This window comes from Homo sapiens, chromosome 10 (genome assembly GCF_000001405.40).
Source record: "Homo sapiens chromosome 10, GRCh38.p14 Primary Assembly".
Taxonomy (NCBI): domain Eukaryota; kingdom Metazoa; phylum Chordata; class Mammalia; order Primates; family Hominidae; genus Homo; species Homo sapiens.
This window is the reverse complement of record NC_000010.11, coordinates 88,267,378-88,291,830: the sequence shown is the minus strand read 5'-3', so window position 1 is coordinate 88,291,830 and position 24,453 is coordinate 88,267,378. Positions and strand designations below refer to the sequence as shown.

The following is a 24,453-nucleotide window of genomic DNA, read 5'->3' as shown; positions in this document are numbered from 1 at the left end:
GTTTGCAGCGGCATCTAGAGGAAATGGCTCCTGATGTGATCTGTTTCTTGGCATTAAAGGGTCTCTGGCTTGGAGAAAGGCAATGCATCAAGCTATAGTAATTTAATGGGAAAGGAGAGAAAAAAAACAGTAAAGAATATTTAGTTCCCTCATTTCTAATTATGTGTTCCTTCTGTAATCTTCTAATCCAGGGTTGGTATATAGAATTCCTCTCAAATGCCAACTCCAATTGACTGGTGGTGGCTGCCTGAGGCACGGAAGAGAGAAGGATGCTGAGGCCCTGTTGGGCTTCCTGGAAAGAATGCCACAATTGATTAGTGATGTCTGTCAGGAGTTGCTGCACCTGTGTCACCCCCATAATCTGTGATACAGTTGGGGAAATTTGCCCAGCAAGATGAATGATCTGGGAAGACAACCAGACTTGGTTCTGGAATTGGTACATTTACCTTCCTTTGAAAATGAACAAATGGATTCTTAGATAACCAGTATATCTCTGTCAGTTTCACCTGACGCTGCTCATTTGGGTGAGCTGAGAAAGTGGAGTGTTTAAACCAGCAATGCTAAAGACATTAGAAGTCCTAACAGCAACAATGCTACTTAACTGAAAAAGCACCGCTTAAAGGATCCTACCATTCATTATCTTTTGACTTGTCATGCATTGAGAAACTGTAGAGTATTTACTGTCCCTCTCCCCTCACCTTACTTAGTACTTGCCATATTTCTTCAACTATAAGATGCCACTCCATCAGTATACACCAGGAGATAGTCAAGATGTAGTTTTCACATGTGTGAACTTGGTTATTTCTGGTGCTCTTGGAGTGGGCAGCTGTAACTTCTTGATATTTAAACTAACAAATTACTTAAGAACAATTTGAGGAAAGAATATGAGGTCTAGTTGCTGTCTGAAAACCTTTCTTTCCCAGTGAAGAGAAAAAAGCATAATCCATACTTGGAGAACAGTGTCAGCAGCTCAGAAGAAAACCCAAGAAAAAATAATTCAGTGGAACATCCTTGTAAGAAATGCCACATTGCCAGTGTTTTAGACAGCACAGAGGACAGACTGCATAGGAAGTGCATGGATATCAGACATCAGCATGTCTGAGTTAAAGAGTGGTTCGGAGAAGTCCATCTCTAAATGCGAGCCTTTAGAATGGCTTCACCAATGTATTTCTCTTTTATTTCCTTTTTATGTTTGCAAAAGATACATGTAGATAAATCTGAAAGAACTTTTCTATTAAGTATAAAATAAAGTTTTGTGTCATGTTGACACCATTTTTTCTTTCTCATTGGTACATAAAATATTGTTGTGTTTTATGGTGCCTTAGATTCAATGAAATGTGGCATAATTTGCATTCATGGTGTAAGTGAGGAAATGTAGCAGGAAAAACTTGATTATTCATTGTCCAGTCTCCCTGATCACATTAGTTTCATATCTAGAATTAGAATTTATAAAACCTTAATTCTTGCCTACCCACTTGAATGTCACCTGTTGCCATGTTTCAGAAAGGTTTGTTTAAGTAACCAAATTATGGGCTGGATGGCTGAATAGGTCAGCCTAAAATAAAGCCACTCTATAGGCCAGACAAATGACTGTTCTCTATGGGGAAATGTCTCCTAGTCCAGGGACGCACTGTAGCTTTAGCATAGATATGAAAGGAAGAATGGACATTATTTGAATTATTTTGCAAATAATCAACTATCATTTTGTGAAAATACTCAGCCTACTTGTCTGCCTACCTCTTTCCTTTCATCTTTAATTTCATTTTCACACCAAAAGCACTTTTTTGTGTGAACTTTTACAATTAGTAATCATGATGCAAAGAAACTATTAGGCTGAACCATATACAAATTGACAATATTTTCCCATTTTTGACCGACGGAATCAGCAAGTTTATGTGGTTCAACTTAATACATGACAGGAGACAGTCATTAAAGCAGTGCACAGTCTGAGGCCAGAGGACACCCCTTCATTCATCATTATTAAGAGTCTTCTAAATACAATAGTTCCTCCATTTGAGCTTCTCCTCAGCTATATGGGGAGCCTCTGAATAATACTTTTTGTGTAGGTTTTCTGTCAAGAACTTCATTTGATCAACTGTGTACAATATCTTTTTTTAACACAATAAACATTTATTGCACACTTTCATATGGTCCAGGCACTGTTCTCAGCCTTGGATACAAAGATCAGTGAGTCAGAGTCCCTATTCTTAGAAGCTTGCAGTCTAGGAGGAGAGGAGACAGGCATGGACATCATTACAGTGCAAAATAGCAAGTAATATAATAGATAGAAATAACATGCTGAAAAGGCATTGACCTTGCCTGGCTGAGCAACAATGCCTCAGAGCAGGTGATGTTTATACTGAGTCTTGAAGGATGAGCAATTTACTTGTCAGCAAAGAGGAGGAATAATGCAACATCACCCAGCAAAATGGTTTGTTCCAAGCCACAGAAGTACAAGAAAAAGAACCTGAGTTTGAATATAGATAGGACAAAGGCGAGAGAAGTGGCAAGGACAAGGGTGACAAAGGTGAGAGAAGTGGCACGAGGTGAGATTTTAATGGAAGTAAGATCCTGGTTATGAAGAGCTCTCCATGAGGGGCTTTGGCGTTTGCATTTTATATAACAAAACACATTGACATGGGTTTAAATTGCTTAGAAATAAAACCACTTCTTCAGCTTTATTTATATACCCAGTCCAGTTATCGCCTAAGTTTATAGAAACATTGCATTTGCTACTCTAGAGCAGGCAAGAGTTCTTTCTGACCAGCCCTGGCACACATGTGAGCCAAAGCAACCTGGATTTGCAAGGGGTTGTTTCAGCCCTGACATCTCTCTTAAACACAGTCATTGAGCTGTGGTTCCTCACTGTGGCTGAAAGCATAGCCAAAGGCTGCATTATTGTGAGATTGTGGCTTTGACAATTACGTGCTCCTCCACTGCAGGGCTCTTACTTTACATGGGTGAAGGAGCTTGCCAATACATGCTCCATGTTTTCATATTTTCCTCATTGGGTAATTGCAAAATGGGTGATTCCACCTAAATGCAGTGAGATTGATTTCATCCAAACTGCCGACTGGCTAATCAGTGGCCCAGTTTTCCAGCCATGTGATCTGGCATCTGGCATTTACCACTCATCAAATTAAATTACACAGCACCAATAAATTACCACCTCATGACTGGGCAAAACCTTTTTCCTTAAACTCCTTCCTGGTTAATACTTGTGCAATGTTTAATAGTGCCACAGTTTATCTATACAGGGATGTCAACAGGAATGTATCAAAATTTTACCACAAATGGAGATTTATGTATATGCAAATTATACATAGACACACACATATATGTATAGATATGAATATGTGTGAATGCTTTATTCTATTGATGTGAATTTTCCAGATGCCTAAAGCTAAGTGACTAATCAAAAATTTTTGTTTTGTTTTACTTCATCGAGTCTTTATGGAAATATTTCTGAAAGTGCTGGAAATGTAAGTTCTGGAGTCAGCCTGCTATGTTCGAATCCCTGTTTCTTTATCTACTGACTTTCCGTCTTTGGGCAAGTAGTAATCTTTCTGAGCCTCAACTTTCTTATGTATAAAATAAGAACAATAGTAACCACCTCATAGGGTTGCTATGTGAATTAAATGGGGTGTGCATATACAGCATTTGATAGGCAGTGGACATTCAAGAAATGCTAGCAATGAATATTTTATGCATATTAGAATTGCTTCTTGAAAGCTGGGGCCATCATGGTGAACATTAATGATTGTAGGACAACTAATAACTGATGCCCTCAGCTCCTATTAAGAGCCAGAAAGTTATTTGCCTCTCCATTTAATTGCCCCAGTCTGCCAGGATTCTTCCCAGTCTTGTCTGGGTTTTGAGTTTTTATATAGCATCCCAATATGGTTTGGCTCTGTGTCCCCATCCAAGTCTCATCTTGAACTGTAATCCCCATAATTCCCATGTGTTGAGGGAGGTACCTGGTGGGAGGTGATTGGATCATGTTGGCAGTTTCCGCTATTCTGTGCTCATGATAGTGAGTGAGTTTTCATGAGATCTGATGGTTTTGTAAGTGTTTGACAGTTCCTCCTTCACATGCTCTCTCTCTCTTGCCTGCTGCCATGTAAGACGTGCCTGCTTTCCTTCTGCCATGATTATAAGTTTCTCGAGGCCTCCTCAGCCATTTGGAACTGTGAGTCAATTAAACCTCTTTTCTTTATAAATTACCCAGTCTCAGGGAAGTTCTTAATAGCAGTGTGAGAATGAACTAATACATATCCCTTGCTATTAGACTATTGGTTATCACATTCTGAAATCACTAATATCTAGAATCCTAGCCGTTTTCTTCTTCCTGTAGTGTTTTACTGACAAATTAAATAATCCAACTTGATAACATTCTATCTAAAGCAGGTTAAAAGCTCTAATTGATCACCCAAGTCTGTGCTTCAGTGACTGCACTATGTGCTGCCTCTTTTAGCCACTCAAAGATCTTGTCTGCTGATTTCAAGATTATCAGCTATGTTTGTGATAGATGATGTTGCTGTAAGAGACCTCCAGAAACATGAGAGGATACTCTTAATATTTCACTTTTGTATCTCAGTGACACAGGTCTACAGAGGCCCATGTCTTTAGAGGTTCAACAGGGAAATAATAGTACCATCTCTTTTAAAAAAGCAAATATAACATATAAATAAAAAATATCTATGGCAAACTTTTTCTGCTTTAAGAAAACTGCAGGCTCTGTAAGCCAGGCATGGTGGCTTATGCCTGTAATCCCAACACTTTGGGAAGCCAAGACAGGAGAATAGCTTGAGGCCAGGAGTTCAAGACCAGCCTGGGCAACATAGTGAGACCCCATCTCTAAATTTTTTTTTAATTAGTCAGGCATGGTGGTGTGCACTTACAGTCCTAGCTACCAGGAAGCTAAGGCAGGAGAATCTCTTGGCCTAGGAGTTCAAGAGTGCAGTGAGCTATGATCATGCCATGGCACTTCAGCCTGGGCAACAGAGCAAGACCCTATCTCTAGAAGAAAAAAAAAAACTGTAAGGGAATATACTGACTCAGCCTATCTAGAACAAAGATCTCAGAACCATAATTTAAATAGAATTTATTACATTTCTTGATTTTTTTTTCCTGATTTTTAAATGAGTAAATCCTCATGGGCCTTACTCTATTACTATCCATGAAAACACTGTATAAGAGAGACTAGAACTGTCATATTGTCATCCAGGTGAATGGAGCCCCCTGAAGTTGTACAGTGAAGCAGTCCCAAGTGAGATGGCCATTACAACAAGTTTTCATATTCTGGTTTTTTAGAGGGTTTTTGGTGTTTCAGTGGCCAAATCATCTCAGTGTCCAACATAACTACATTCACCTCCCACTCATTCTCCTTACTGCAAATGCTTATTAGCCATCATCCATCCAAATTTTGAGAATATTTTCTCCAGAAAAACAATCTCTGTGTCTTTTTTCATACTTTCAGATATGAAAATAAAAAGCTGTTTAAAAAGACTGCTTTGGGGTCAGTCTACTCTCAGGACTGAAATTTCCTTAAGGACAAGGTTGTGAAATTTTAAAATTCTCCTGCTCCAATGTTCAGCATGGAGCCTGGGCCAGAACAGCGCTCAGGAAATATGTGAGGAAGAAGGAACCATGGGATGAGGAGTAGTGGAGAGAAACTGAAGAAGGATGTATTGGTCAATTTGGGCTGCTATAGCAAAATACCATAGAGTGGGTGGCTGATAAACAGAAATTTCTTTCTGGCAGTTCTGGGGTCTGGGAAGAGCAAGATCAAGGCACTGGCAGATCCAGTGTCTGGTGAGAGCCCTCATTCTCATAGATGGCACCTCTGGCTGTGTCCTCACATGGTGGAAAGGACCAACAAGCTTCCTTGGGCCTGTTTTATAAGGAGCTGATTCCATTCATGAGGAGTTTGCCCATGATCTAATCACCTCCCAAAATGCCCCACCTTCTAATATCATCACCTCGGGGGTTAGGACTTCAACATATGAATTTCAGGGGGATAAACCTTCAGACTATAGCCCCTACTAATTTTGAAGTTCAGCCCACTTCTGATTACCTTATCTAATAACTGAAAATTTAAACATTTAAGAATATAAATATAAACACTTGAACTGGGGTTGAGGGGCGTTTAGTGAGTCTTGGTTTGTTTTTTGTTTCTTGTGTGTGCATTTTTTTTGTTTGTTTGGTGCTTCTTGTGAGAAATCTTGATTTCTCCAGGTAGACTAACCTTTTCCAGGTGGGTGTTGCCATGACAGCACAATAGAGCACAGAATGTCAATTGCAATCCTCTTTTTACTTTTTCAGGTTACAAATGCTGCTGCCAACTGTCCTGGCCAAATGACTCTGCATCACAAACCTTTCCTTGCATGTGGAGGGGATGGATTTACTCAGTCCAACTTTGATGGCTGCATCACTTCTGCCCTATGTGTTCTGGAAGCTTTAAAGAATTATATTTAGTGCCTATATCCTTATTCTCTACATGTGTATTGGGTTTTTATTTTCACAATTTTCTGTTATTGATTATTTTGTTTTCTATTTTGCTAAGAAAAATTACTGGAAAATTGTTCTTCACTTATTATCATTTTTCATGTGGAGTATAAAATCAATTTTGTAATTTTGATAGTTACAACCCATGCTAGAATGGAAATTCCTCACACCTTGCACCTTCCCTACTTTTCTGAATTGCTATGACTACTCCTTGTTGGAGGAAAAGTGGTACTTAAAAAATAACAAACGACTCTCTCAAAAAAATTACATTAAATCACAATAACAGTTTGTGTGCCAAAAACTTGATTATCCTTATGAAAATTTCAATTCTGAATAAAGAATAATCACATTATCAAAGCCCCATCTTAAGTCTTCGGATGTGTCCTTGAATCAATATTTTTGCAAATTATACAAAACAAGATTTTTCCAAAATGTAGGTAACAGAGTGTAATTCTTATTTCTCATTTATCCCCCAAGTTATTAAGTGATCCTGAATTGTAGGTCATATATGTCATCATCTTAGTGTGGAGGGCAACTTGACTGATAAAGAGACCTTCCTTCAGATTTTCAGAAAGTATAAGATTCCACATGATTTTCCCAGCCACACAGTACTTTTTAACTTTCAAACAAATTCCAGTCCTAATATGAAAGATAAAAATTAAATAGAAACAGAGAGAAAGTATATCGATCCTTACCTTTTGCTATATTTTATAGCTGTTGCTGTTACTTTATGGGTTCTCCAGTATGTGCTGTGGCATTTAGACTGTGTCGAGTTTAATGAATTTAACACAACAAAAAATTTACTGAACCAGAAAATAGATGCACTTAAAATAGTTCAATATTTGCCAAGTTGGTGGTTCAGCATATCACCCACATGCTTCAGTGACCTGACCCCACGACTTGCTAGCTGGAGAGAAATCAATCTCCAGCCTTCCAAACCAGCTACCTGTTGCTAATTTGAAAAGCAAAATGATGAGTTCTATTTCAGCATTTTGAAAGGAGAAAAATCATTGCAGCCTCTCAAACTAACAAAAGTTCAACAAAAGACTTCTTACTGTAATAGTGTTTAAAGTTTCACACTTACATGTCCACTGTCATACATACACATACACAGGCACAGGCAGAACTTGCTTCTATAGCTGCAAAGTGGGTTTTATGACCCTATAGCATATTATTATATGTTTCCTCTTAGCAATAAATTGGTGAAAAACTTAAATGCCAACATGTGGTTAATGTCACTTATTTTGAAAGCAGAGGGAGGAAGAAGGAAATTTGTAGTCTCTATAAAATGATGAAAAATAGTGATTTTTTGTTATTTTCGCCCATATTTGACTAACATTTGTCTTTATTTATATTTTTTAAATTTTAAATGTAGGGATACATATACAGGTTTGTTATATAGGTAAACTTGTGTGACAGAGATTTGTTGTACGGATTATTTTGTCACCCAGGAGTTAAGCCTAGTACCCATTAGTTATTTTTCCTGATCCTCTCCTCCCTCCCACCCTCTACTCTCAGGTAGGCCCCACTTTCTGTTGTCCCCTGTATGTGTCCATATGTTCTTATCATTTAGCTCCCTCTTGTTAGTGAGAACCTGTGGTATTTGGTTTTCTGTTCCCTCATTAGTTTGTTAAAGATAATGGCCTCCAGCTCCATCCATGTTCCTGCCAAGGACATGATCTCATTCTTTTTTATGGGTGCATCATATTCCATGCTATGTATGTACCACATTTTCTTTATCCATATTCTACCATATTTACCCTTAAAATATGGTAGAAAGGTCATTCAAATTAACTATTTTGTTTTTAACAAATATAATTCAGGAGCCATTTGACTGAAAGCACCCTGAACCTTTAAAAACAATGCTATATTTGTTTTATGAATTTATGTCCTCCAAAGGAGGGGGAGGGAATTTGTAAAGCTGGGATGGGTTGCTTGGAGACCGTACTCCTCTAAGCCATTACTAATGACTTTTAATATCTATTCTTTCTAACTCTGCATCTGTTTTTATAAGACTATGGCAATATGAGGAAAAACCCTACTTGATATGTAGATCATTGTTACTTTGCTATTTTAATTATTTTGAAAACTTATTTTACATTTAGATTTTCTTTCAATTCTTCCCCATTAGAAATGAAATGGTAGAAATATCTCCTCCTGGAAGCCATCCCAGACGGCCATAAAATTCAGCTGGCCAGGATGCTCTGAGAGACACAAGGCTAAGATATCAAACTCCCCTGGGAGATGGGAGTCAGCACCAGGTAGAACAGTGGCCAAGGTGTATGTATGTTAGCCCCACGGGGCCACACATCATCACAGTATTTCCAAACAAGAACTTTTATTAATCAAGCCAGCCAAGGAAAGCTGTTCTGTTTTGAAAGGAGCGTATTCAAGTGAGAAACGGCTTGAGCAGTGGGGTGATTTAATACTTGTTAGCTGATAAATATAGCCTTTGCCAGAATAAAACTTTATGATGCAGTGTTGAAAAGCTTAATTACTAAACTGTCTATGCACGTCTTGCTCAGGCAGCAAGGGTGACAAATTATAGCAGTGAAATAGTATTTTTCACCTTTGGCATTTCTGAAGGAGAAGAGTATGTCTAAAAACATCAAGAAAGCAGCAGTAATCCCAGACCAGATATTACTGGGGGGAGGGCGGGGAGGAAGACACTTCGTTGAGTCATCAAGCCTTCTGTGCAAAATGCCATGGTCCCCACCCCCCGCCTACCCACTACCTTGTTAACTGAAGAGAACAGGGTCAATTTTACATTTTTCTGGCATTTTATACTCATCCAAGCGTGTGTGTGTGTGTGTGTGTGTGTGTGTGTGTGTGTGTGTGTGTGTGTATTTTCACTTTTCATCCTCCTAACACCTCTGTGAAATAAGCAGAGCAGAGAATTCTTATTTACATTTAACAAGTGAGGAAACCAAGGCACAGATCTTGGCCAACCAGGGTCACGTAATGTTATTCCAGGACAAGAGCCCAAGCCCCTCATGACCCGTTTCTATTTACAGGCACCATGCTGCTGCCAGATGAACATGCTAATTAAAACTGAACTGAAATATTAGTTGGGGGTACAGTCCGCATCATGTGGTCTTCTTATTGATGTTTCATTTCAGAGAGTTAACACTAATCCTGATGTGATATATACAGGAGTCTAATATGGGATAAAGTCTCTGTAAGTACTGGCTAAGTGATTCATACTCCTGTTACTTTCATTTGCTGGTTTATTTCCTTCTTTGGGGGGTACTTGCTGTGAGAAATAGCTGCATGCTAATGACACTGAATTTCAACCCAGCTGTAGCTGGTTACAGTACAGACTCACCGTGCGTTCATCCTTTCCATCTGATTCCTCTTTGTTTCTTTGTTCCCCTTGTTTTGCTCTCTTCTTTTCTTCCAGTTTCTGCCATTTCTTCCTCCCCTTCTATTTTTTTTCCTGCCTCTTCTCCTATGCCTAATTCTACATTCTCAGAAAAACCGGGAATATGAATGCAATCACCTTATGATTCATAGTATTTGTACTTCCAGGTTTTAATATATCAGGGTTTTGTTGTGGCTGTTCTTAAAATGTAAAGCTGGAAGCCATCCCAGAGGGATGATCCTGTTTGTTATTCAAGTTGATTGGACAACCCTTATGTTGATTTTCGAAAGTGATGCAAGAATTTAAAACTGGCCATAGCTTTCAGGGATCTCAGTGCTAATAAACTAAAACATGACTTGTATGGTTTCTTTACACCAATTCTTTACTCTTCCTGTCACACGTGTGCAAAGCCTGGGACCAGGCTGCGTAGTGTACACAATGGAATATAATCAGCAATCCCCACCCAGAGATTCTACTTAGGAGAAGACAAGACCCCTGGAGTGGGAGACAGAGTAGAGGTACATGTTGACAAGGTCACAGGCAGTGAATAAGATGCTCTAATTCGTGAAGCTAGGGAGTCCTAAGAGAAATGTTTCCTTTGGGGAGAAAGGATCCCTGAACAAATACAGAGACGCCTCAGTCAAATACATCCAGCAATATCCCTCCCCTCCACACCATACCTGGGTTGACCTGGCTGACTTCAGAATCCAAACTGCATATTAGTGTGCTCAGCACAAATAAGTTCTTACTGTGCAGAAAGCTCAGCAGAACAGAGAAAGAGGTCTGTGGCAGGAGAAAAAAGTCTCAGCAAACATCAGATGATCTGGTGCAGGACCAAACTGCTGTATTTCAGTCTGGAATATATTTGTGTTTTAGCCAGTATCATCTGACCAGGTAAACCAAGGAAGGTAGAATGGTAGTATGACTCACGTTTCCTTCTCAATAGACAGTAATTATTGTCCACTCAACAGTTCACAGCAGAATCCCACAAAAGAGCCTGCTAAGGAGAAGGAATCTCTAAGGGGTTGTTAATGTAAAAGGCTGGTTGAATTATGGAACCCTGTGGAATATCTAAGCTTAGAGAGGTTTGGAAACCATTTAGACCAGTTCTTAACCATCTTGGATTTTGAACCTGTTTAAGAAGCTATAGAAAGCTATGGATCTCCTAATAACAACAACAAAGACAACTATGCATATGAGCACATAGAATTTGCATACCATTTAATGCCTGCTGACCAGCTGCTTGTTTTTGTAAATAAAGTTTTATTGGAACACAGCCTCACCCATTCATTTGTGTATTACCTGTGACTGTTTTGCACTACAGCAGTAGAGATAAGTGTTTTTGACAGAGACCATATGGCCTGCAAAATCTAAAATAGTTACTATGTAGTCCTTTAAGAAAATGTTTACTGACCCCTGTTTTAGGTTCAACCCCTCCCCCCACACATCTGTCTGTAGACACTCAGGGGTCCAAGGAGAACCTCTAAATCTTAAACCTATCACTTTACGTAAATATGATCTTATCTTTGATCCACACGTCTGGTCCATTGTTCCTTGATCCTATGCCACGTTGTAAATCCCTTAAGGCAAGCCTATAACTTTGCAGTTAAGAACACATCATCTGCAGTTAGATCTGCGCTTTAATCTAAAGTTTGCCCCTCATTGTGTGACCTTGATGCAGTTAAACAATCTCACTTAGCTTCCTTTGTCATCGGCAAAATGAGTTATTGATAGCTACCTCATAAGATTGTTGTGAGGCTTACGTTCATATAAAACCTTAAGAGAGTGCTGAACACATAGTAAGTACTTAGTAAATAATAACAATGATGATGTTGATCATAAAGGGGGGAGGAGGAGAGGAGAGGGGAGGAAGAGTTTAACCCGGTGCCTCTGAGGCCTCTGTGAAGGCCAATTTCCTCTGTAGTCACATAGGACACAGGAGAATTGATGATAAGGAGAGTTAGTGGATAGACAGCAAAACATGGTGAAACCCAGAAGCTTAAAAGCTCTAGGTTGCTTCAAAACCATGAGACAGAATAGCAGTCAGTGTCTCCTGGTGACCAGCTCTGGGCCACTTTCTGTTTTCCAACTACAGTGAGTAAGTAGACAGCTTACCTGGGGAAAAGGTGGTTTGCTCTAATGTAGTCCTTGGAAAGACACTAGGAAAGGTCATTACCAGGAGTAGTGATGGTATAAAATAGAAGCATTCTCTGCAAGAACGTTGTCTTTTTTCTTAGCAACCATATGTGCTGAATGCAAAGAATTGCACGCTTGGATTGGATTCTGCTGAAGATTAGTGAATCTCCGAAACACTGTGAAAACTAGGAGTGAGTTATTTCACACTCCTAAGTGTTTGGCTAAGTATGCAGATTCATTTCCTGTCCCTGGCCTTCATTTTAAACAGCTCAATTCCTGGTGGGGTCGGTGACATCCTGAATATGCCACTTACTAGATGTATGATCTTGGTCCAATTCCTTTGTCTCTGTCTCGAGCCGCAGGGCCCTCGTCTATGAAATGTGGATACAATTTTACCTACTGTAGGATTATTCTGAGGGTTATAGTATGTACATGCAAAGTGTAAGCATTGTGTCCTGCGTAGAGAAAACACTCCATAAATGCTGGCCATTATTATTACTATTATAATAGTAAAATATGATTTAGGAAAATAATCCCCTTTGATAGCCGTCACTACATCTATAGGTAGCTTTAGATCTAGCTAGGAAGCCACTTCAGTATTTGTAGAACTCACTGGTGACTGTATTTAAGTGCCACCTTAAGGTAGGCCTCTTCAAAAATTCTTACTGACTCTTGAATGAATAAATGCTGTCTGTGGTTTGTGGCTGTGCTCTTTCAGAGACCTTGCATGGCACTGTGTTCTCCCCCAGCCGATCTAGCCTCCCCACTCTTGTGATACTTACCCCATGTGTACTTACTTGTTCAATATCTGCTTTCTGCCAAAATTGCAATAGCCACAAAAGTGGGACCTGGCACATAGGAGTTACTCAGTAAATATCTGTTGATCCAAAGAATGAATGAATGAACTTAACTAATTAACTTTTTTTATTCTAATATTAGTAAGTACCAAAGGAAAATCTTGCTGACACAGAATTATCTCACAGAACAAAAATGTACTAACCTCATCCTTAACAGAGGCAATAATTACAATAGTATCTATATTTGCTTTATGTGGTTTCTATTCAAAGTCATTAGGTGATTTCAGAAAGTCTTTACTTTATACTACATCCCATTATATTTTGGAAGAGGTTGGGGGAAGGCGGGAGAGTTGCTCTACCATTAGAAATATGGTACTTAAAATGGGCCATCTCTATGTAGTTGGTATGTTGTGTATGCACATGTGTGTGCTAGCGTGGGAGAGGGGAGGGGAATGGTGCTGTCCTTGTGCAAACAATCAACATAGCTTCTGTAGCAGTGTATTCTGTTATTGTGATTTTATCACCTACCAATGACATGTAAGCAGGGTTTATTGACTGACATTCTTATTTTTTCGATACTTTTTAAATTGAATTGCTCTAAAGGTGGCAAGAGTTAGGCCTAGAGTTAGTTGCACCCACTTCTGCAAGACAGTTGCCAACCTCAAACTTGCACCATATATTTTAACCATTACAATAAGCCATGTTTATTTATCCTTCGGAAAATAATCAAAACTATTTTCTGTGAACCAAAAGACTGTCAGAAAACTGAATGTTAGTGATACAGAGACCGTTGTGGAGAAAAAAAAAATTGGCAAGCATCACCTAATTGAGAAATTGAGATGTTGACCATTATGGCTGAACAGCACTCTAACCAATTAGCTCTATATTATAGGAAAGAGCTACAAGAATGTGCCTAGAAGCAGGAAACCCATTCATTATGTGCCTAAAATCAGGAAACCCACTCACTAAATAAACCATTTTAACTATTCATACTAAGAAATGTTAATAGTTGAAACAATAAAAACTTTATAATTATTTCAACAGATGCTGAAAATTTTTGACAAATCTGCTAAAATTTGTGAAAAGTTAAATTTGGCAAACTTTAATATACATTGCTGCTAAAACATGATAAATTTAGAAACGGGATACTACCTTAAAGGAATAAGGACTTCTATTTTAAAACTATAAAAAACATTAAATTAAGAATAAATCACTAGAACCATCTATATTAAATTAGGGAGAAGTCAAAGATTCTTACATCAATGTTCTAAAATTTCTAGGGTATGCATTAAGGCATGGAAAATATTTAAGGGGTGTGAATGTTGGGAAACAGAAGGCAAAGTGGTTACAAATTGTGTTAATATGATTATACTCCTAGAAAACTCAGGTGCACCAACTTTTAGATTGATGAGAAATAAGTAGAGTGGCTGAATTACAAACATTCAAAGGTCAATAACTCTTCTGTATGCCAAAATAATCAAAGCAAATGTATCTTATATATAATGTTGTTAACAAAAAATGGAATGCAAAGGACTATCTTTTTTTTTCTTTTATTATACTTTAAGTTCTAGGGTACCTGTGCACAACGTGCAGATTTGTTACATAGGTATACATGTGCCATGTTGGTTTGCTGCACCCATCAACTCGTCATCCACATTAGGCATTTCTCCCAATGCTATCCCTCCCCCAACCCCCCACCTCCCCGGCAGGCACCCTGGTTTGCAATGCTCCCCGCCCTGTGTCCAAGTGTTCTTATTGTTCAATTCCCACCTATGAGTGAGAACATGCAGTGTTTGGTTTTCTGTCCTTGTGATAGTTTCTGAGAATGATGGTTTCCAGCTTCATCCATGTCCCTGCAAAGGACATGAACTTACCCTTTTTTATGGCTGCATAATATTCCATAGTGTATATGTGCCACATTTTCTTAATCCAGTCTATCATTGATGGACATTTGGGTTGGTTCCAAGTCTTTGCTATTGTGAATAGTGCCACAGTAAACATACGTGTGCATGTGTCTTTATAGTAGCATGGTTTATAATCAACAAAGGACTATCGTTAGGATCCAGAATTTATGCAAGGAAATATTTCCAAAATTTTATGGAGTGACATTTTGAAACATTTGAACAAGGGAGGATATACCATGTCCCTAGAGGGAAATTGCAAATATTATGAATTTTTTCCATTATCCCCTGATTAATTTATAGGTTGCACAAAATCACAGTGGGATTTCGTTAACCTGAAAAAATAATTTTAAGTCCATCTGGAAACAAATTAACAGGTAAAAATAACTAACAAGTTTGAGCAAGAAGGTAGTAAGTACCTTCCTGCAAAATGGCACTTTCATCTGCTATTATGACATACGATAAAATTAGATAAATAAGCAGTTTACTGTTGATTCAGGAATTGATACAAATCAGTGGAAATAATAACTATAAAATAGCCCTTTAATGTGATAACTGAATCAATACAAAACCAATGAGAAAGCAATAATTATTTAACAAATAATTTGAGGAAAATTAGCAAGGTATTTAGTTTTAGAAAAAAATCAAATGTGATTCTACCGTATATTACTATAATTTCCAGATGGATTAAAGGGATAAATATAAACAAATATATAATACATGCCTCCCCCAAAACCATATAGAGGAGAATATAGATAAATGTTTAACCTATTTCTAGGTTGCAAAAGAAGTTCTAGAAATTAACAAAAGAAATCATAAAAATACAAATTGGTCTACTTGATTATATTTTAAAACTCTTAGAAAACAAAACTAAAAGATTACAGACCAGTTAAGAAAAATACATATACAACAATTTATAATAAAAGTATGTCCTTAATGTAGAGAAAACAACAAAAGTTAAAATTTTAGCTCAATTTTTTAAGAGTTAAAAATGATACAGATAGGACTAAAGTCCATCTGTTTTATTTTTTGTTTTTTATTATTCGCATGTTTTTGTTTTGTTTTGTTATTTTTAGAGACAGTGTCTTGCTCTGTCACCTAAGCTGGAGTATAGTGGCCTGATCATGGCTCACAGCAGCCTCAAATTCCTGGGCTCAAGGGATCCTCCTGCCTCAGCCTCCCGAATAGCTGGGACTACAGGCACACACCCCTACATTAGGCTAATTTTTTTGTTGTTGTTCTAATGAGGTATTACTATGTTGCCCAAGTAAGACTCAAACTCCTGCCGTCAAGTGATCTTCTTGCCTCAGCCTCCCAAAGTGCTAGGATTACAGATGTGAGCCATTGTGCCCAACTTACATGTCTTTTTAATTGTAGTAACACCACCATATTTTCCTACTTTGATACCATATGTATGTATCCATAAATTATGGTAATGTTCTGTGCGTTTTTAATTTTACAGCATATTGTATGTATTTAGAACTTTATTCCCCCAGGGTTGTATTTTTAGTATTTTTCCATGTCGATATACATAGATATATTTCGTTGATTTTTACTACTGTACACTCTTCCATTTTATGAATATATCACAATTTATTTGTCCATTTCCCTACTGATAGACATCAGGTTGCTCTAAATTTTTACTGTTGCAACATTGTTGCAATAAATATGTTTGCACATTTCTCTTTTTACCCTTGTGCAAGAGTTTTTATAAGGCAAAATGTTAAAATGTATTAAAACTGAGACCTGCATTCAAAGGAATATGTTAATTTTTTATATATTCTATATGTTTTAAATAATAATTTGAAGATTAATAGAAGATAACAATTATGAAGAGTATTTTAAAGCCAACTGATAGAATTTTTTATAACTGAAATAAGTGGGACAAGGTTAGGATAAAGAATGTAAAATGGGGGGTCCTGCTTGGTGGCAGCTCCTCAAAAAGTTAGCAAGACCACCTATAGAGCCAGAACCCTCCCCATTCCAGGTCTATATATGTTCCGTGAAAGCAAAGAACCACTATTAGTGTAGACAAGGTGTCAGAGGCCATTGTGTTGGGTGGCACTGGGGTTGAAGGATATTCCTTTGATTTTCAGGTACCAAGTGCTGGTGTGATTCTAGGATGTGCGAAGAGCCCCTGGATGATGGCGATTGGATTTCCCATCTGACTTCCTGGAAATTGGAGCACACAGTCAGGTTTTATTTGATTTTTTTTTTTAAGGATACCACTTCACAGCCTTTAGGATAGCTATTATTTAGAAGCAAAACAGAAGATAAATGTTGGCAAGGATGTGGAGATATTGGATTCCCTTGTGCAGTGCCGGTGGGAATGTAAAATGATGTAGCTACTATGGAAAATGATACGGCAATTTCTTTAGAAATGAAATATAGAATTGCTGTATGATCTGCAGTTCCACATCTGGATATCTATCCAAAAGAAGTGAAAGTAGGGACTTGAACGAACATTTGTACACCAATGTTCACAGCGGCTTTATTCACAACAGCCAAAAGGTGGAAGCAACCCAGTGTCCATGGATAGATGAATAGATAAATAAAATGTGGTATAAACATACAATGGGCTATTGTTTAGCCTTAAAAGGGAAGGAAATTCTGACATGCTGCAATATGGATGAAGCTTAAAGTCATTATGCAAAGTGGAATAAGCCTATCACAAAAAATAATATTACATAATTCTACTTATATGAGGAATCTAGAGCAGTCAGTTTCACAGAGACAGAAAATAGAATGGTGGTTGCCAAGGGCTGGGAGAAGAGGGCAATGGAGAGTGAGTGTTTAGTGGGTCAGAGTTTTAGTTTGGGAAGGTAAAAAGTTCTGGAGATGGATGATGGTTATGGGTGCTCAACAGTGTGAATGTACTTAATGCCACAGAACTGCACATTTAAATGTGGTTAAAATCATCACTTTTATGTTATGTATATTTACCACAATAAATAAAGAAGTTGATATTTCTTATACTTACAAAGAGGAGAAGGGCATTTGCAAATCAACAAGAAGTGTGAGGCCCCTCTCTCTAGCAGAAAAATAGACTAAATCTATTTCTTTATCTTTTAACATCCTGTTTAAGGGAAATGCCAAAACAAATGGGAAAAAATACACACACACAAATATATATGAACATGTTTTGCCTCATGAGTAATCAAAATGTGTACATATGTATGTTTATGTATGTGTGTTTATATTTAAAATCGTGTTCTGCCTTATGAGTAAACAAAAAGTATACAAATTAAAAACTATAATGAAACGTAATTTTTTAACCTATCAATTTGGCATTTTTTTTTGAATGACTAAATTCTAATCAGGGATTAAAATGACTGGTACAAGTGAAAACTTTCACATCCTGTTCGCATAGTAAGTGGCAATATGTATCAAGTGTTTTTTAAAGCATGTTTTCTAACTCAATAAATTTCATCTAGGAGTCTGGCTTAAAGAAATAATCCAGGATGCAGACGATGGTTTATTTGCAATATGTTTATTTAAGCATTAGTTATGATAGTGGAAAACTGGAAATAACCTAAATCAACACTAACAGGAAATGGCTGAATAAATTCTAATAGATCAAAACAGTGGAATTTAATGCAGTCATTTTAAAATGTGGGTTTAAAGCAAATTTTTCTATCTGGGATATTTTTTGTGATATAATGTTAAGAGAAAACCCACAATATGTAATGCTAAGTCAAGAATACAGGATGCTTGTCATTTCTAAAAAACATCAAGTGAGTATAACATGCATTTATGTGTGTACATATATTAAGACCAAAAGAAATATTCAATGTCTTCAAGGTGGTGGGATTTTAAAAAATTTTCATTTCTTTCTTTATATTTTTTCTGTATTTTCACAATGAGCAGTCAGGCAGCCAATTGGCCTTGTGTTGAGGTGCTCCAGAGGGCAGAACCAAGACTAGCAGCAGTAGGAAAGTGATTGAAGCTAATATCAGTAAGAAATTTCCAATAAGCAGAGCTTTTCAATGTGGAGCAGACCTCTGGGAGTTTCTTTCTGCCAGCCCAAAATGTTTCCAGCAGAGGCTGGGTGACCACCATCCACAGTGATCCACAGTGGGGAGAGGTCACAAGAACAGTGCATCCCAACCCTGGCTGGGCCACAGCATCACCCGAGGGAGGATAGAATGCAGATTCCTGGGCCATGAACCCTATCTACCTGGATTGAAACTCCAGGGCTGGGGTCTAGGGATATGTATTTGCCTTAAACTTCCCCAAGGAATTCTAAAGCAGCGAGACAAAGTTTCTACACCTGAGAATCCCTAGATTAGAGACTTTCAAGGCAGCTTCCAACTTGGAGATTCAAAGCAATTTTGCAATTCAAAGGTCTAGAGACTATTTGAGTATCTATCTTAAAAAAACGAAGACAACAGTATAGATGCAAAGGGAGGCACGGCTGGGGTTGAAGGATGGAATCATTTGAAGATCAATACTTTTTCATTCATTTATTTATTCAACCACCAATGACCAAGAGCCTGTGCTGTACCAAGTTCTTCATGTAAAGCACTTGGGATATGTTAGGGATCAAAACCGTTTCCTGCCCTCATAATGGTCACATTTAGGTCAGGTTAACATAAAACGTAGATTCTTGGGCCCAGGAATGACTGAATTAGAATCCCTGGAGAGGGACCCAAGAATCCATATTCTATAAATGTTCCCAAGGTGCTGCCTGTATACACTAATGCAATGTTGTTTTTCAAAATATGGGCTTTGACTCATAAGTGGTTTGTTATAGTAATTTAGTGAGTCAAGAAGCTTTTTTAAAAAATTAAAATAACAGAAAAAAGAACAGGAAAAGGAAAGGAAAATTAGAATGCTGACACATGGAAACAGTAACTTGTTTCATAAAGCTTCTGTTTCTGTGCCCTGGGCCACAATGTAAACTGGGTTTCAGATGGAAAACCATTGCTAGAAAATATGATATATAAAATACATCACTGCTCTAGTCCTCTCTAACCCCTGCACGCAACAGTTCTGTTTTAGTCCAAATCTGGAGGTGAGATGCTGGGGCACACTGACCACCTTGAGGAGGGACAGGCTGTTCTGGGAATTTGACTCACTGGGAATATCCCTGCTATAATGCCACTTCCTTTTTCTTTTGGATTGAGCCTAGGGCTGCACTCTTGCACAGATGGTAAAGTCTCCAGCACATGTTGCATCATTTTCTCTGGTAGACATGACAGAGCACTGCACACTATCTGTCCTGGCCTTCGTGGCAGAGTTAGAGCCGCATACAGAAACGAACTCCTGGGACCCATTGCTTCCATTTGCTAGGCTGCTTTTTAGGGGAACAAGAGAGCAGGTCTTATACAACCAATTTTCCAGGCCAAGTCCTGGGTATTTGATTTGGGCCCTTCATATCAGGTCAAAACCATATGCAACCCATACTTGGCAACCAAGATGAAAGATACCAATTGTTTTAAATAAAAATGAAACCGGACGGGGTGAACAAACCCACATAAGACAAGCTGAAAAGTCCTCCCAGGCTCTCTGAGAACCCAAGAGCCTGCTGTGCTGAGCAGACCAGGGATGTTCCTGTGGTTTACTTGTTTGCTGTCACGGAAGTTTTGCTGTCACTAAGAAGAAAAATCCAAAGGCTAATTCAGCATAAATGGTCCCCTTGGCTGCACTGAGGGCAGTCACAGGTGAGTCATAAACAGTGTTGAAAAGTAGAGATCCACCCTAGAGGCCTGAGACATGCTGCTTTTATCTCCAGCTCAGAGCAAGAAAAATGTCTCAGAAGGAACTGAAAATGGAATTACTCAAACTGAAAACTGCTGTCCTCACCAGGAGGATTCCTTTCCTGACCCAAGTCTGGGAAGTGCCACTGGTAAACCCCCAGAAATGAATTTGCTCATCAGTGAAGGACAGAGCTAGATATTCTCAGATGTACCCAGTGACATTTTCGCAGCATTAGAAGCCAAGCCTCCTTCACCTCAAACCAAATCACTGAAATGCTTGATTCTGTGCAGCTGTGGTAGAAATGCCCTGTATCAAAGGCAGGCTCCAGTACCACAAGCCAAAGATAAATAACAGAGGAAATGATCAAGACCATGACCTCTTGATGACCCCCTGGAGCTAAATCTTTGCTAGACCTCAGAATATCAAACAGGCCACCAGCCCGCCAAGAGCAGTTCATGAACAGTGTGGAAGCCACCTCAGCCTGCGAGAGCCTGGCTCTCTAGAAACTTGAGACATCCCAAAGGAATTTCTTGTTTTATCCTCCCAAACAGGGGTTTGTTAATTCTTTCTTCAAGTGAAGAAACCCTTTCCAAATAAACGTACCCAGAAAAGGTATTTTCCATTTACTTGGAAGTTGGGGTTGTATGTATCTCTTGTCCGGTGGTGAACTATTAGTATTTTGAAAAGTGTGTTCTCCCACCAACTAGCAAAAAAAATGAAACAGAAATACAAGGGCCTTCTCCTACTGGAGATTTTGATTATAGATTCAAACAGGCAAACATTATGGAGTGTTTACTATTGGACAAGTATTGAGCTAAGTTCTCAGAGGATCCTGAGTGGAACCAGACTCAAGTTGCTCACAGAGGGAAACAGTGGGCAGCTGAAACTTAGGTTTCTTTCTCAAATCAGTGTCATAGCACCTGAAGGAAACTCTGGGCCACCACTTCGAGTTTAGGAACCCCTGAGGCACAAGACAGCAACTGAGGCTGAAGGGACCCAGTATCTAACAAGCAAGACTTGTCCCCTAAATTGCCTTTGGAGTGCCTGGCCTGAAGACTGAGGCAAGCCAGCTAAATCCTCAGAATAAAAGATGTGGAGAGCAGCCAGGAGACACCACCTGATGCTCAAGGAGAAGGAGATCTTGACTGCACTTGACCGCACTAGGAGTGCAAATAGGTCTAATTTGCGTCTCTTAGCTGCAAGACTCACCGTGGAGTACAAAGGTCGATCAACGGAGATTATAGGTAGAAATAAGTGTCATTGTTTCGTTTACTCCTCTCTCCTCTTGTCAAAGAGGGCCTCAAAGTTTAGAAGACTCATGTTCCCGGCTGGCTTAAAGAAATGACTCTTCTTCTCAGGGCTTTGTCAGAAATATGAAGGGTTTGGTTAGACAAGTGGATTTCAAACTGCACTATAAGCTGGGCGTGGTCACGCACGCCTGGAGTCCCAGCTACTCGGGAGGCTGAGAGAGGAGAACCACTTGAACCCAGGAGGCGGAGGTTATAATGAGACAAGATCTTGCCACTGCACTCCAGCCTGGGCAACAGAGCGAGACTCTGTCTCAAAAAATAATAATAATGATAAAACAAAATAACAAACTGTGCTATAGTCATAGAAGTTATATTCAAATAAAACCTTCTATTGTTGTGTACATAAATCAAGTCCAAAGAAGAGCAGCACTACAAGTTAAAGAAGGAACACATTGTATTCCTCTAAGGCCCCCTCAAAGCAGTGTAAGCCATGGATAAAGGAGACTTCTCAGGCCCCTGTTGCCCAATTCTGAAACCCTTTTTTAAAATGCCCCTCAGACATCCATGACTTCTGTCTTTGGCCTGTTGTGGGGCAGTCACCCAAATAATGGATCAAGACCTTGTAAACCCAGAGCCTCCTGTTTCAGCAGGAGTCAGTTAGGCCAGGCCCTAGTTTGATGATGGGTAAGAATGACGGCTCAGACCTGCCTAATATAGCTGTCACTTTGGTTTTTCTGCCAAAGCATCAAGCAAGCAGTGAAAAAACATGAAATTAGGGAGGGAGGACTAATAAAATAGTTTCATGCATAGGACCTCAGCTTAGTATACTAGCCCTATTTACATATAGACAACCTATTCTCAGGAATCTCATTGTAAATACTCCTTGATTCAGAGAAGTATCAGTTCATATCCACTCCCTGTGAATGCCAAACCAGGGCCCTGTGTATGAAAATATTTTATTCAATCTCATGGTTGTCAAATATGTTTAAAAGTGGCCAAAGAAGTCTGAAAGATTTGATGCACCTGCATTTTGCATTATATTGCTTTCTCCCCAAAGAGGATATGTCTCTTTGAGTTTCACTGATCTTTATTATAGATTCCAGCAATTTTCTGACTCTAGTGAACATTTGTTGATTGTCCCCCTAACATCAGGGCTTAACAGCCTTTCTTTCCAGAGGTTTTATTTGAGTAGGCTTCCTTTCACTACCCTCAGTCCGTGTGGCCTGGGGTGGGGCAAGCCACCATGTGCTGGAGTGGTCAGAACCCCTAAGCCTGAGTTAGTCAGTGCTTCATGTTGTATTGGCCACACCAACTGGTTCAGAGGTAAAATAAACTTGAAATAAATTCATTCTGTCAGACTGGGACTCAGAACATTGCAAGAGTTTCCCACTGGACTTGAAGCAAAAGATCTGAGCCAAAGCTGCTGGTAGCCATGCCACTCTGTGGGGCAAGTCTAGAGCTGCCAGGGTCCCCATAGGAAGGTCAAGAATAAAGTTAACACAGAGGATGGGAGAGCCAAGAGATGGAGATAAACTGAGACCTGATGGCATCATTTGAGCTCTGAATTCAGCCCTGGCCTGTCTGCCTGTAGGAATCAATAAGTTCTTCTTTCGCTTAAGCCATCCTGATTCATTTTTGAAACTGTCATTCTAGTGAGAGAGATATACAGCATGCAGGGGCCATGGAATCAACCCCCCCACAGCCACCTCCCACATGGTCCTATTGCATGGTTTGGCCATGTCTAATCATTGGGAATTGTCTGTTCATTTGTTTTTCACCAATCTGGCATGGTAGCACATCTTTGAAGGTGAGGAGGGCATCGGGAAATATATGGAGAGCTTTCAAGTTTTTTCAATGACTGGGAAGTGGGGAACACAAGTGACATTTAATGGACACAGGCCAGGGATGCTAAATGGTCTTGAGAGGTATGGGACTATCCTGCCTAACACAAGATAGTCCACCCAAAATGCCAATAGCGCCACCATTGAGAAGCCTTCAGAGGGTGAGCTTGCATATTGAAATAACGCAACCCTGAACTATGGTAGGTCTGAAAAGAGATCCAATTAGTGATTATTTAATAGAAGAATCCATATGCAGTTCAAAATCTTTGAAAAGCGTAAAATAAAACCAAGTGTTGTCTCGAATACCTTCTTTGAGCACTGCCAAAATTCACAGAACCTTTCTGTTTATGAAAAAATCTTACACCAACGTTTCTCCCCTATAAGGCTGTAGAATTTAATTTTCTTACCAAGATATTTAAAATCAAAATTTCTCTGGGAACAGCACAGCCATGGCAGGCTCTCTTCCCTTCTGTGGCCTCTGAGACCTTTAAGAAGACACTGAATCACATGACTTCTCAACTTCCACATCCAAATTCTCTATTCCTCACTTCTTCCTCCTTTCTGAGCCTTTCTGCCATTGGCCATCTTTTTAAAAATGCACCCTAACTCAAAATGGGAAGGTCTGACTTTATTGTTCAGATGTGCTCAATTTGTAGGTTTTGTGTTCTCCTGGTTAGACTTAAAGTATGTATTGGTGGTATTTTCATCCAGGAGTCCAACCACTCCTTGACAGGGGGTAGTTGTTTGTTTTGTTCTGTTTCTAGAGACAGGGTCTCACTCTGTTGCCCAAGCTGGAGCACAGTGGTGTGATTGTAGCTCACTGCGCCTTGAAATCCTGGACTCAAGCAATCCTCTTGCCTCAGCCTCCTGGGTAGCAAGGACTATAGATTTGCGCCACCATACTCAGCTAATTTTTTCCCCTTTGGTGAAGAGGGGGTCTCGCTATGTTGCCCAGGCTGG

At 39.1% G+C, this 24,453-nt stretch overlaps 1 protein-coding gene and 1 long non-coding RNA gene across 14 annotated transcripts in view, besides 1 other annotated feature; one reads left to right on the top strand and one right to left on the bottom strand.

Moving 5' to 3' along the window:
* The window catches only part of LOC101929727 (uncharacterized), a 248,010-nt gene that overhangs the window by 88,291 nt on the left and 135,266 nt on the right, over positions 1-24,453 (bottom strand). The window lies entirely within an intron of this gene.
* Positions 1-24,453, top strand: part of RNLS (renalase, FAD dependent amine oxidase) — a 411,796-nt gene that overhangs the window by 291,488 nt on the left and 95,855 nt on the right. For 5 of the 13 annotated variants that reach the window (XM_017016384.3, XM_005269948.4, XM_005269947.3 and 2 more), the window contains one exon: positions 6,325-7,729. In XM_017016384.3, coding sequence (XP_016871873.1) covers positions 6,325-6,422 — 98 coding nt within the window. In that variant the 3' untranslated portion in view covers positions 6,423-7,729. Of the gene's footprint in view, positions 1-191; positions 1,268-6,324; positions 7,730-16,798; positions 17,970-24,453 lie in introns of those variants that run through there. The other 8 variants (XR_001747122.3, XM_017016382.3, XM_011539924.4 and 5 more) reach the window with 3 other exon arrangements.
* Positions 20,181-20,230: an enhancer, noted in NCBI's record as "active region_3722". NCBI's record gives its function as "activates an Ori minimal core promoter by ATAC-STARR-seq in GM12878 lymphoblastoid cells {active_cell/tissue: GM12878}" and the evidence as "EXISTENCE:reporter gene assay evidence [ECO:0000049][PMID:35858748]".